This window comes from Homo sapiens, chromosome 10 (assembly GCF_000001405.40).
Source record: "Homo sapiens chromosome 10, GRCh38.p14 Primary Assembly".
Lineage (NCBI taxonomy): Eukaryota > Metazoa > Chordata > Mammalia > Primates > Hominidae > Homo > Homo sapiens.
The window spans coordinates 46,738,273-46,752,847 of record NC_000010.11 but is presented as its reverse complement, the minus strand read 5'-3'; the positions used below and the strand labels follow the sequence as shown (position 1 = coordinate 46,752,847).

At 40.1% G+C, this 14,575-nt stretch overlaps 1 long non-coding RNA gene across 1 annotated transcript; it reads right to left on the bottom strand.

Annotated features, from left to right (window-relative positions):
- Nucleotides 1–1,114: 1,114 nt before the first annotated feature.
- Nucleotides 1,115–12,277, bottom strand: FAM245B (family with sequence similarity 245 member B). Its single transcript, NR_187477.1, has 3 exons — nucleotides 12,056–12,277; nucleotides 2,595–2,748; nucleotides 1,115–1,937 (listed from the first exon to the last, which is right to left on the bottom strand). It is a non-coding gene; the product is annotated as a family with sequence similarity 245 member B (long non-coding RNA).
- Nucleotides 12,278–14,575: the final 2,298 nt, after the last annotated feature.

The window sequence follows — 14,575 nt, the reverse complement described above, 5'->3', positions numbered from 1 at the left end:
ACAAGAGGCGAGTGACTTGTGTGCCCTTGGGCAGGTAATTTAAACACTCTGTGCCCCCAAGTTCCAATAGATAAATGTAAATAATAATATCTTTCTTACCTAATACATGGGGTCAACAGTTAAAGTGCTGTACATTTGTGAGGTATTTCATGGCACCTGTGAATTGCTCATGTGATGACTTAGTGTGCTTCCAGTGTCAGTGTGCTGGGAAGGAGACAGAATAGGAAGAAGACTGAAAAGATGCCGAGTCTAGTGCAGGGTATCCTGGGGAAAACACCTCCTGTTTGTCCAACAGCGATTGGCCACACATTGAAGACACACTACCTGCCTGTGAACTGGGTTGACCCTGTTGAAATCTTGTGGAAAGCTTGAGATGCTCCTTAGAGGGTGTTTATCCCTCGAGCTGGCACAAATGCGGTTTGTTGTTCAGTTTTTCCTTCTACTCTGCCTCTATCTGGTACAAAATGGAATTGAAGAGGATATAAACCAGCAAGGAACAATCTGAAATCAGAATGGTGACAATGGGAGAAAGTAATCTTGGTTCAACCCAGTGTTCACCTGAAGTCTCTTTATTAAAGACTACTAACAGGAACGAAATTGCATAATAATCTTCCTATGATAATTTCAAGTTCCAGAATTTCTCTATGGAACTTTCAAATTTCACCTCTGTTAACTCATGGAATTTTCCCTAGAATCTGCAAATTACCGAAGTCTTTGGAGGTTTGATGATCACTCACTGGTCAGCGGTACTACAAAAGGATTCTGGGGAGTTTGACTCAGTGGTCAGCAAAGGCTCTTCCGAATCTTCAGTCTGATTCTGAGATTCCCCGGGGAGAACTGGAGCCTTTCTTAACAGCTCTTGATTGGAAAGACCACCTGCTTCATCCTCTATTGCAACAGAAATAGCCATTGTGAATCTCCATGGGGAGGCACAATGAGTTTTTTCTAGCATGTGTGACTCAGGTCATTTTGTTCCGTGGTTTCCAGTTGTGGGGACTTGGCAAGGTCACACCCTCCCCTGAGCCTCAGTTTCATCGCTCAGAAAATGAGGATAACAATTCTACTTGCCTCATAGGATTGCTGTGAAGATTAAATGAGACATGTAAACATTTGCTTATAGTAATTTCACACCACTTTATTGTGGAATCAAAGACAGAATTCTTACAGAGGTCTTGGTTAGTTAAGAAAACATCCATTCAAAGATTTGATTCACAGGACACCCTCACTGTCTTTCTCTTTTTTTTTTTTTTTTTTTTTTTTTGAGACAGGGTCTCACTTCATTGCCCAGGCTGGAATGCAGTGGTGTGATCTCAGCTCACTGCAACCTCTGCCTCCCAGGCTCAAGAGATTCTCCCACCTCAGCCTCCGAGTAGCTGGGATTACAGCCATGCACTGCCACTCCTGGTTAATTTTTGTATATTTTGTAGAGACGGGGTTTTGTCATGGTGCCCAGGTTGGTCTTGAACTCCTGGGCTCAAGCAATCCACCCACCTCAGCCACCCAAAGTACTGGGATTACAGGCGTGAGTCACCATACCTGGCCCTTGCTTACTTTCGTACTTCCCAAGAGGCAGGTTACCAAATTGGTGAAATTAACCATAATATCATTGTGATGGGCAAGCAGATATATTAAAAGCAAAGATACAGCAGGTTAACATTAAATTTTGCTCATCCCAGGACAAACTTGGCCACAGGAGGCCTTTGCCAGTATTCTGAAAAGTGTTGTGACCATCTCCTTTAAAGCTCAGTTAAAGGTTTCTGGCTGGACTCCAGGCTGCTTCAAGCTCTTTACTTGTCTTTATCATTCTTTAAGGAGGGACCCAGACACAGTGTGCAGAGGCCTGAATCCTCTAGATCATTCTCTCTCCACCATGAGTCCTGCCGTGGGGACCTTTCCAGCTCCCTTTGGCCTTATGAGCCAGAAAATCAGGCTAGAGCCTAAAGAGAACAGAAATTTCAGAATCAGGCTTGTTCTGCGACTGTTTGGGGAACTGAAGGACACAATGGGCTTTCTATATTGGAGACTACCCATCATACTCTCTCTGCCCAGGGAGAAAGGACAGATGCTGTGTGATTTTGCAGTCTGTGATTTGGCTTCTCATTCTCGCTGCTCTCTACACCTCATTGTTTACTTCACTCCCCTGAAAAAAATGCTCCCTAACAGGCTCAGTACCCAACTTCTGGGTATTGCTGCCCACATTTGCCTTGGTTCTACCTTTTCAGATTGCAGGATCCTGAGGTTTTGCTTGGAGCAGCTCAGATTCTCCATTAGATCTAAGATCTCACCTAGTCCTGAGGATTTCCTTAAAGGGAAGGGGAAAGATAGATAGATAGATAGATAGATAGATAGATAGATAGATAGATAGATAGATAGATAGTTGCTGCCTTTGCTCTACAGCATCTGCTTGGTGAAGAGGCTCAGGATCTGGATCCTGGCCTCTCAGCTCTCAGGAACCCCATTCCCCCATGACAGGGGTGGCAAGTTCATCCTATTATTCGTTAAGAAATTTGAAAACAATCATTCAGGAATTTTAGGTCAAGAGCTGGAAAACCCCAAGCCTCCGTCACCTGAGCAAAGGGAGATACTGTAAGCACCTGAAGGATACACCCATGTTCCACCACCTGCCTGAAGAAGCCTGTGGTTCTTGTCAGCTTCTCAAGGGTGAAGCGCAGATCATTTTCTGCTTGAGCAGAAGAGCAGACCAAAGAGCTCATTGACTCAAGGAGCATCACGGCAACTGACCTGCGCCTGGAAGAGAAGAATCCAGGGTGTGATCCACAGCCAAGGCCTGAAGCGATGGGGCCCATACTTGGCCTCTCCAGGGTGAGTTGTGACCCAAGTGCTGGGCTTTAGCCCATGAGTGGTCCCTCTTGCCATTTCCAGTTTCCTCCCAAAGAGAGGCCAGTGTTGGTGATTTCATTTCTCATAATCTCCTTAGGAGCACAGGTTTTGGTTTGTGCCTTTTTTGGATCAGGTTCCCTGCTTTGCAGCTGCTATAATTAAAACTATTAACAACAACACAGCACCACAGAAGCAAGTTAGTTGCTAATGGAATTTGCTGATAATGCTATCTTCTAGAGACCACTCTAGTAACTGGAGAGCCTTGGTGTAGAGCTGATGATAAAACCTGTTCCTGCTTTTGTCAGTCATGAGGAGCATTTCCTTTCTTGACAGAGGAACTGAAACCCACATGCCAGCCCAAATTTACCAAAAGCAGTCACTGGAATACTCATCACACCATCATGTCTCATCTTATCCCTTTCGTTACCTTCAAATACGGCCCCATTTCCTCAGGACCAGAACTCCCTTATGTGGGCAGCAGGACTAAGGCCCTTGAGTTACCTGTGGTGACTCCTCATTAAATGGAGGAATGTGCCAGTATTTTCAGCAAAACATGAATCTGATGAAACACTGACTGAACTGTCTCCTAGTTTCAAAACAAATTATTACCACTCAGGGCCTCTATTTAGGGCAATCAGAGTCAGAAGTGGGAACGCATCTTGTCCTCCTACCTTGATTAACAGTAACTCTAATTCCAGGATGATGGTCAAATCCTCTCTCCTCTAATGTGCAGTTGTGAAGGATTTAGGCTCCACTGCTCATGCATTTGGGTGGGGCCTGAATCACTTTCAGTCTAGCACAGGCGGGTCACTTCAGGCCTTCCCAACTCCATCAGCATCCTTCAATCCTCCCCTGACATCTCTCATTTATGCTTCCTATTGATTCAGAGGTCCCAACCCGAGTGGCTAAAAGAAACATTCATTAACCTTTCTACAAAGTCATGAATAATCCATGGATTACATTGAATTCATCCCTACTAAAACCATCTTCAGAAATTCAGATGTAGTAACCTTCTTTCTGAATTTTTTTTTTTTTTTTTTTTTTTTTTTGAGATGGAGTCTTGCTCTGTCGCCCAGGCTGGAGTGCAGTGGCATGATCTCAGCTCACTGCAAGCTCCACCTCCCGGGTTCACGACATTCTCCTGCCTCAGCCTCCCAAGTAGCTGGGACTACAGGCACCCGCCACCATGCCCGGCTAATTTTTTGTATTTTGTTTAGTAGAGACGGGGTTTCACTGTGTTAGCCAGGATGATCTCGATCTCCTGACCTCATGATCCGCCCACCTCGGCCTCCCAAAGTGCTGGGATTACAGGCATAAGCTACCGTGCCCAGCCAAGTATTCTATCCTTAATGAACACATATATGCACATTATATCTATTTTTTATAATATATATATTTAGAATTGAATGTCAGAGTACATATCAGTGTTGGAGGAAGAGAATAAGGAGGAAGCACAGAAAGTAAAAAGGAAAAATAGGCACCAAAAAAGATTTGGAGAATGGCAGATGGCCAAGGAGATGCAGTTGGGAAGTGCCTCTTCCATGGAGAGGAACCCAAATATCTAGTAAACCTTCACATTTTAAACAGATCTTTTGAGAGAAAACACTGAAAGTTGACACAGAGGTGACACAGACACCATGGTTGAAGAGGGAAGAAATGGGACAGTCTGCTCAGAGTCACTAGACATCAGGACTGGCCCATATACCCTGAACAAACCCAAGGAAGGGGTGAGTGAAGGAACCCTGGGACACTACATACCCATAATGTACCTCTGAGATCCTAGTTACAGGAGTTTCTACGACCCTCATAGATCTTTGGACTGGTAGGAGAGCTGCCTCGAGCACATGCAGAGGCACAGTTTGAGCCCACACAGAGCCCAGAAGGCTTTGTTGTGCTGTGCAGCTGCAGCAAAATGCAACCCTAGGTGCCCATCCCACAAGCCTCCATTTCATACTGAGTGGCTAAGTTCCTGCTGTCCGCCAGGCTGGGAGTGAACCGCGCCTGGCCTGCTCACATGCCCAAGATAGGCCCCATCACCAGTGCTGTGTGATTAAGTTGCATCTGGTCCACATGCCCCCTTGCCTGTCAACCCCTTCCCAGAGCTCATGCCTGGTCATGCCTGCAAGAGGGTGTCCACAGCACAGCATCCACTGCATAGCTTGAGTGTTTTGTTGACAGCCTGGGAAAAGCTCACCACCCTGTCCCCAAGTCACAGCCAGTGCTTGAAGCTTAGAGGCCAGAGGACAAATCCGTGAGCCCAGTCCCAACTCCCCAAGACTCAAGTATACCACCCAGGGACACTGAGCTGAGATTTGTAACCTAATCTCAAGTGAAGGAGGATCCTCCATAGTCAGAATGCAGAGAAGGGTGTGGTATGGGTTCTCATGGGGGCATGGGAGCTGGACGCCCCTCCCTTTGCAAGACCAGACCATGAAGGGTATGGCCTGATGGTGGTAGCTTCTTTCCCAGGGAGTGTCCTGGCACAGAATGCCTGGAGCAGCTCAACAATGTGGGAGCAGATGGCTTGGGGAAAGCCTAGTTGGTTGGGCTTGCCGCCAGGGCGAGTGTCTGTGGGAGATCTGCTGGGTCAGGGGAGTGTAAGCTAGGCAGACTCCATGGTTGCCTGCTGGGCTGAAAATCATGGGCTGCAGACTCCATACTGGTGTTGCACCCATTGTGCCACTGCCCTGCCTGGAGATCCTCTACCCTTGAAATACTGCATCATCAGAGCAACTGCAGACATACCCTAAAACCTGCTCTGACTTTGGTAAGCACAGTGGACTGGTGGGTCTCTGGAGAGTTGTGTGTCCCTAGAGATGTAATCCTCAGTGTGGACCATCCCTAAGGGAAGGGGGAGTGCAGCCTGCAAAGCACAACATGAGACAAAGAAAATGCGGCCATGGCATAAGCCACTGAAAGGAGCACCACCAAGGCCCAGAACCAGACTTGGAGAAGGAATTATGTCTCGCCTCCATCTCCCTTCCCCAGTACACTGTTGCAGATGCAACAATAGCTCTTCCCATAGGGGCCCAGAAAGCGTGCACTGAAAGAAGTTGTTTCTCATGATTCTCCAGTGAGGACAAACATGCACCAAGACCCCACCTGCCAGCTCTTACTCTTAAGTCCATCTACCAGACTGAAGTTATACCATCATATAAAAATATATTGCTAAAACAAGCAACATCTGTGAAAGCCACTGCAGCAACCTATCTGTAACCAAGGAACATATATGGAAACTTCACCCTCTGCAACTACCGAGAAATGAAGCCAATCAATCACATACACCACTGTCATACTTTCAAAGAGAATAAAAAATATAAAAGCCCTGTGATGGTTAATACTGAGTGTCAACTTGATTGTATTAAAGGGTGCAAAATATTGTTCCCGGGTGTGTTTGGAGGGTGTTGCCAAAGGAGATTAACATTTGAGTCTGGACTAGGAGAGGCAGAACCACCCTCAATCTGGGTGGGCACCATCTAATCAGCTGCCAGCACGGCTAGGACAAAGCAGGCAGGAGAAGGCAGAAGAGCAGACTTGCTGAGTCTCCTGGCTTTCATCTTTATCCTGTGCTGGATGCTTCCAGTTCTTCAGCTTTTGGACTCTTGGACTTACACCAGTGGTTTGCCAGGGGCTCTCAGGCCTTCAGCCACAGACTGAAGGCTGCACTGTCAGCTTCCCTGCTTTTGAGGTTTTGGGACTCGGACTGGCTTCCCTGCTCCTCAGCTTGCAGATGGCTTATTGTGGGACTTTACCTTGTGATCGTGTGATTCAATGATCCTTAATAAACTCCCCTTCAAATGTACATCTATCCTATTACTTCGGTACCTATAGAGAACTCTGACTAATACAAACCCCATCTAAATGAAGCAAATTCAAAAAAGAAGTGTCAACTCCCGCAGATGGAAAGGAATAAGCACAAGAAGTCTGGCAATACACAAAGCCAGAGTGTTTTGTGATCTCCAAAGCCTCTCACTAGCTCCCTAGGAAAGGATCCTGACCAGATGTAAATGTCTGAAATGAGACACATAGAACTCAGAAGATGGATGTCAAGGAAAGTCAATGAGACATAAGACAAAATAGAAATCCAATGCAAAGAAACCAGAAAAACAGTCCAAGATTTGAAAGACAACATAGTTATATTAAGAAAGAGCCAAACTGAACTTCTGGAACTGAAAAATTCACTAAATAAATTTCAAAATATAGTTGGGAGACTTAAAAACAGACTAGGCCAAGCAGAAGGAAACATTTCAAAGCTTGAAGACTGATTCTTCAAATTAACCCAGTCATGCAAAAATAAAGAAAAAATATTTTTTAAAAAGACAAAGCCTTCAAGAAATATGGGATTATGTAAAGAAACCACTTCTACAACTTATTGGTATTCCTGAGAGAAAAGAAAGAGTAACCAACTTGGAAAACATATCTGAGGAAAAAATTCAAGAAAATATTCTCAATTTTGCTAGAGATGTTGACATGCATACACCAGAAATCCAGAGAACCCCTGTTATATACTATAAAGACAGCCATCCCCAAGACACATAGTCGTTAGACTATCCAAGGTTAACACAAAAGAAAAAACAAATCTCAGACACAGCTAGAGAAAAGAGCAACACTACCTACAAAGGGAACCCATCAGACTAACAGTGGACTTCTCAGAAGAGACCTTACAATCCAGCAGAGATTAGAGGTCTATGTTTAGTACTCTAAAAGGAATGACATTCCAGCATAAACATTCATATTCTTCAAAACTAAGCTTCATAAACGAAGGAGAAATTGAGTCTTTCTGAGTCAAGCAATCGGTAAGGGAATTTATCACCACCAGACTAGCCCTGCAGAAATGCTTAAGGGAGTTCTAAATGTGGACATAAAAGAACAATACACAGAAAAAGCACAGTTAAGTACATAGTCCACAGACTCTATAAAGCAACTACACAATTGAGACTGCAAAGAAACTAGCTAACAAAACTATGACAGGAACACAATCTCACATATCAATGTTAACCTTGAACATAAATGGCCTAAATCCTCCACTTAAAAGACATACAGTGGCGAATTGGAATAAAAAAATCAGAATCACCCATCTGCTGTCTTCAAGAGACCCATCTCACAAGTAATGACACTCATGGGTTCAAAGTAAAGGGATAGAGAAAGATTAATCATGCAAATGGAAAACAAAAAAGAGCAGGAGTTTCTATTCTCATATCAGAGAAAACAGATCTTCAGCCAAAAACAGAAACAAGGACAAAAAAATGTTATTGCTTAATGACAAAGGGCTCAATTCAATAAGAATAATTAACTATCTTAAATAAATATGCACCCAACACTAATTGGAGCATCACGATACATAAAGAAATCACTACTAGACCTAAGAGGTAGACAGCCCCTCAGTAATAACTGGGAACTTCAACACTCCACTGACAGTGGTAGATAGATTATTGAGGCAGAAATCTAAACAAATAAATTCTGGACTTAAATTTGCCACTTGACCAATTGAACCTAATAGACATCTACAGAATACTCTACCCAACAACCACAATATATATTTTTTTTCTCATCTTCACATGGAACATACTCTAAGAGTGATCACATATGCAGTTATAAAGCAAGTGTCAAGAAATAAAAACAATCAAATAATATCAAGCATCTTCTTGGACCGCAGTAGAATAAAAATAAAAATCAATAGCAAGAGGAACTCTAAAACACAGACACTCACACACAAACACACACGGAAACTAAAGAAATTACTCTTGAATGACTTTTGTTTGGGTAAACAATAAAATTAAAGCAGAAATCAAAGAATTTTTTAAACAAATGAAAATAGAGACACAATGAACAAAAACCTCTGGGATGCAATAATAGCAGTTTAAAAAGGAAAGATTATAGTGCTAAATACCTACATCAAAAAGATAGAAATATCTCAAATTAACAATCTAACATTGCACCCAGAGCAAGTAGTAAAACAAGAAAAAAAACTACATCCAAATATAGCATAAGAAAAGAAATAACAAAAATAAGAACAGGACTGAATAAAATCGAGACTCAAAAATCCACACAAAGGATCAACAAAATGAAAAGTTGGTTCTTTGAAAGTGTAACCAAAATTGATAGACTGCGAGCAAGATTAACAAAAAAGAAAAGATCCAAATAAGCACAATCAGCAATAACAAAGGCGACATTCAATCGAGTCCCACGGAGATTCAAAAGATTCTCAGAGACTACTATGAACATTTCTATGTGCACAACTAGATAACCTAGAAGAAATGAATACGTTCCTGGAAACACACAACTTCCCAAGATTGAACCAGGAAGAACCTGAAACACTGAACAGACCAACAATGAATTACAGAATGAATTGAATAAGTAATAGAAGCCTGGGACTAGATGAATTCATAGCTGAATTCTACCAGACATACAAAGGGGAGCTCATGCCAATCCTACTGAAACTATTCCAAAAAATCGAGGATGAGAGATTCTCCTCTAACTTACTCTACAAAACCTATATCATCCTGATACCAAAATATGGCAAATACTCACACAAAAAACAAAACCCTAGGCCAATATATCTGATGAACATAAATGAAAAAATCCTCAACAAAGTACTTGCAAACCACATTCAGCAGCACATCAAAAAGATAATACAATATCAAGTGAACTTTATTCCTGGGATGTAAGGGTTGTTCAAATATATGCAAATCAGTTAATGTGATTCACCACATAAACAGAATTTAAAATGAAAAAAAAACATAAGATTATCTCAACAGATGCAGGTAAAACATTTGATAAAATCCAACATGCCTTCATAATTAAAACCCTCAATAGACTAGGCATTCAAAGAACATACCTAAAATAATAAGAACCATCTATTGACAAACCTAGTCTACATTATACTAAACAGGCAAAAGTTGAAAGAATTCTCATAAGAACAAGAACAAGACAAGAATATCCACTTTCACCACTCTTATTCAACTTAATACTGGAAGCCCTAGCCAGAATGATCAGACAAAAGCAAGAAACAAAAGGCATCCAAATAGGAAAAGAGGAAATTAAATTTTATTTCTTCACTGATGATAGGATTCTATACCTAGAAAACCCTAATGATTCTGACCAAAGACTCCTAGAGTTGATTAAAAATTTCAGTAAAGTTTTAAGATAAGAAATCAATATACAAACAGCAGTAGTATTTCTATACAATGCAATATTCAAACTGAGAACCAAGTCAAGAACACAATCCCATTTACAAGAGCCACAGAAAAAAAAAAAAAGAAATACTTAGGAATACCTCTATCCAAGGAGGTAAAAGATCTCTTTAAGTAGAACTACAAAACACTGCTGAATGAAATCATAGATGACACAAACAAATGGAAAAATATTACATGCTTATGGATTGGAAGAATCAACATCATTAAAATGTCTTTACTGCCCAAAGCAATCTACAAATTCAATGCAGTTCCTATCAAACTGCCAAAGTTATTTTTACACAGAATTAGAAAATCAATTCTAAAATTTGTATTTAACTAAAAAAGAGCCTGAATAGCCAAAGCAATCTTAAGCTAAAAGAACAAAGGCAGGGGCAACACATTACCTGACTTCAAACTATACTACAAGGCTACAATAACCAAAATAGCATGGTTTGGGTACAAAAACAGACACATAGACCAATGGAACAAAATAGAGAATCCAGAAATGAAGTCCCATACCTACAACCAACTGATCTTTAACAAAATTGATAAAAATACAATGGGGCAAGTATACCCTATTCAATTAATGGTGCTGGGAAAACTGGCTAACCATATTCAGAAGAATGAAATTAGACTCCTGTCTCTCACCATATAAAAAAATTAACTCAAGATTGATTAAAGACTTAAATGTAAAACTTTAGACTATAAGAAGCCTAGAATTAGACCTAAGAAGCTCTTTTGGATATTGGCCTATGCAAAGAATTTATGACTAAGTACTAAAACACAAAAGCAACAAAAACAAAAGTTGACAAGTGAGACCAAATTAAACTAAAGAGCTTCTGCACACTTGCATGTTATATTGCAAATATGAAATAGCAAAGACATGGAATCAACATTGGTTTCCAACAATGGTGGATTGGATAAAGAAACTATGATGCATATACACCATGGAATACTATGTAGCCAGAAGAAAGAATGAAATCCTTTCCTTTGCAGTAACATAGATGTGCCTGGATGCCATCATCCTAAATGAATTAAGATGTAAACAGAAAACCAAATACCGCATGTCCTCACTTATAGGTGAGAGCTAAACTTTGGGTACACAGGAGCAAAAGGATGGAAATAACAGACACTGGGGACTCCAAAACAGGGGAAGGAAGGAAGGCAAGGTTTGAAAAGCTACTTATTGGATACTATGTTTACTATTCAGATAATATGTTCAATAGAAGCCCAAACCTCAGCATCATGCAATATATTCATGTAACAAATGTACACATGCATGCTTAATCTAAAATAAATATTAAATAATCAAATAAAATGATTTCCATGAATAAAACGGTAGATATGATTATGTGGAAAATGCTTTACTATTTATTATGTGGTGAATAATTTAATAATATTTAATAAATACATGAATGAAAAATAGCTACAACTGTGTGTTAGGATTTCAATAATTTTTTATTTCATTCCTATAACTTTTATGTATTATTATATACATAATAATATATATAGTTAATAATAACAAAAACAACATGGTATTGAAATAATTTCCACCCAGAAGGAGGATCAACATATTTAAGTGACTACACTACTCAAGATAAAAATCATTTATCAAACAGATCAAAGTCATTTACCTGCTTTCCTTTTTATAGGTCCTAGGAACACACGTGCCATAGACAATAAAACATCACTTCCCCCATCCCACTACCTTGGACTTTATTTAACATCTTTGGGTAGAACAGAAACTGTTGATAAGGTGAGTTTTGTTTTATAGACAAGAGAGGAAAATGGATACTTTGTGTGGTCTGGGCCTTAGAAACAGACTAAGATCTTTTTTTTTCTCTTTTGCTTTTTTTACTAGCATAAAATATTAATTGGCAAAACACCGAATACAAGCTTCACTATCATAAAATCAAAACATTTAAGCAATATTCCAAAAAAGATTTGACAAAAACTAGTCACCAAGAGTACAAAAATTACACATCAACACAAAGCATAAAAAATGTGAACTTTCAAATTAAACAGTCAAAAACATGTACCTGCGTGATCACCTCCACACCTTGACTGCCTTCGTCTGCAGCACGCTGCTGGTAAAGGCTGGGTGGCTGCACCGTCGTCCCCTAACCCAACATTGCTTTCATCTGGGAAAATTCGCTTGCTAGCCAATTAAGCCATGGAGGCTATTACATTTACACGGGGCTACGCACAATCTCAGGGGACGCTCAAACAGCAGTTCGTTCCTCACACGCACTGTTGGGTGCAAAGGGCACCTGGAGAGTGAGGGAGACCTGGGCGCTTTCCTGCGGGGCCTTGGCCACGCGGCCGTCGCCCGCACCCTGTCCCTTGCCTGGCAGGGGACACAATATTTGTACAGATTATGGTATAATTTGAATGATTTTCTAATCTACTTATCTTAATTTATATAGTTTATTTAAATGTCAAGGCAGAGAAATACATTGATCATGTTAAGGTCACGTGATGTGGTGGCGCAGTAATGACTTCCTGAGGAAACAGAAATCGGATGTTTTGTGATTTAGCTATGTGCACTAAACTTATTTTCCATGTTTTGAGAGCACATTAAACATTCACGTACAATGTGGGAATAGGCTGGCTCGTAACCAAAACGTCCAACCCAATGCCACCCTTTGAATCGCTGTGAACACCGTCCTATTGCGGTTCAGAGAAAACAAGCAAGGCTGCGAAGCCCTGGGGTTCAGGCAGCTGCAGCGCTTGGGCCAAGGTAGCTCCGCTCTCTGGTCTGAAGCCACGTGGCCCCACCCCGGGGCGGCCTGGCTTTTTTATAGTGCTTATTGCTGTGTTTGGCATGCCATTCAACCCATCGGGATGTTGGATAGTGACTTGAGAGCAATCCCTAGATTTGCCCTGTCGGGATGTTGCATACTGAGTTCGGAATAAGCCCTGCTCAACTGAGGCACTATCACTAGGAGGAGGCACTGATTCCCGCCTTTCAATGCTATCTATTGGTGAAAGAGGAGTTGGATGGCATCTGGGAAATTAGTATCACTTCTACTTTTTCTTCTTTTCTTTTAAAGGTTAAAAATACCTTGTATTAGTTAATACTGCTATAAAATATGAATATCCAAATCTCTGTGGCTCAGTAAAATAGATTTTTTTTTCACTCAGAGAAAGTTCAGGTTCACCCTTAGTAACCCAGGCTGACAGAGACTCTTCCATTTTCTATACATAGCTTCCCCAATTGCCCAGAGAAGAGTGGAAAGATTTGATAGGTGACTGTACACAAGAATAAGAACTTAGTACCTAGTCACTAATTTACTCGTTGAATAAACATTTATGGAGCTTAACATATTAATCACTGGGCAGACGCTGGGACACAAGAAAAATCTTTAAGATATGTCACTGCTTATTACCAATAATGTTCTAGTGAGTAACAAGAGTTAATAACACGACTAATTATAGTATTGTAAATATAATTACAGTTCCAATAAGACATACACACACACAGAACGATTTTGTCTGGTTGTTGAGGAAATCTTTATTGATTTAAGATATCTTTTGATGAACAGGATTTTTCAATAACTATCAGAAAAAGAATGTCTATGACTTATTTTTAAAAACTATTTTCTTATCTGCCTTGCATATCTGACACTTTCATCTCCTATCTTCCTTGAATACAATATAGAACCTGACATTTCTTTCCTTTCAAAGATCCTTAGAGCATTTCCTACATTTAATCTGAATGTCTTTCTCAGTAATTTTTCCCATACAAGCAATTATGGCTACATTTTCTTAATATAATCATGAAAAGGTGAGCAAAACTGAAAATTTAATTTGGAGAATAGATACGAAACATTCAATTAATTCAAGTTGTTGTTAGGCTGCATATGTTCAGCTTTCAGTGAAGATGAACAAATGATGATAAATGAGAAACTGAAAGAAAACAAACCAATAGGTGTTTTTTAAGAAACAATATTATTAAAGTGCATGTGTTTTCTACTGAATGAAAGCAACATAGACCTTTTCCTCACATTGGTAGTTAGTAAGATGTATAAAAACAACTTTGTAAAGAACAATTAATACAGGTTAATGAATCATTGTGAAAAGGGGATAACACACTTTATTGTAGCAATGATCTGCAAGGTGTTAAATGTTAAAAAAGATGAAGAACAATTGAGTAGTTATTTGATCACAGTGTTTATTAAATTGCTTTTCCTGTATCTGGCAAGCTTTACAGAAATGTCTTCAACAGAATAACTGTGTTAAAAGCCAAATGAAATGCATTTTGAAATATGATTCTTCACTTGGTGTGCAGGTATAATCTCAGGTGTAATTCAGACAAGAGACAAATTCAATTTTAAAGTTCCATTTGTTACAATTTGATGATTGTGATTAAAGAACCATAAAAATTTTATCTTTGACATTTCATTTTTTCCTCACAAAAGTATTCTACTGCAATTTTCTTAGTTTTCTTTCCTCTTAACTGTGGTGTTACCTATAAATGCTGGATTTCTCTGTTTTACGTGCAACAAATCTACAATCAACTATTTCTGGAACGCCACTTCATTTTAACAACAAGGACC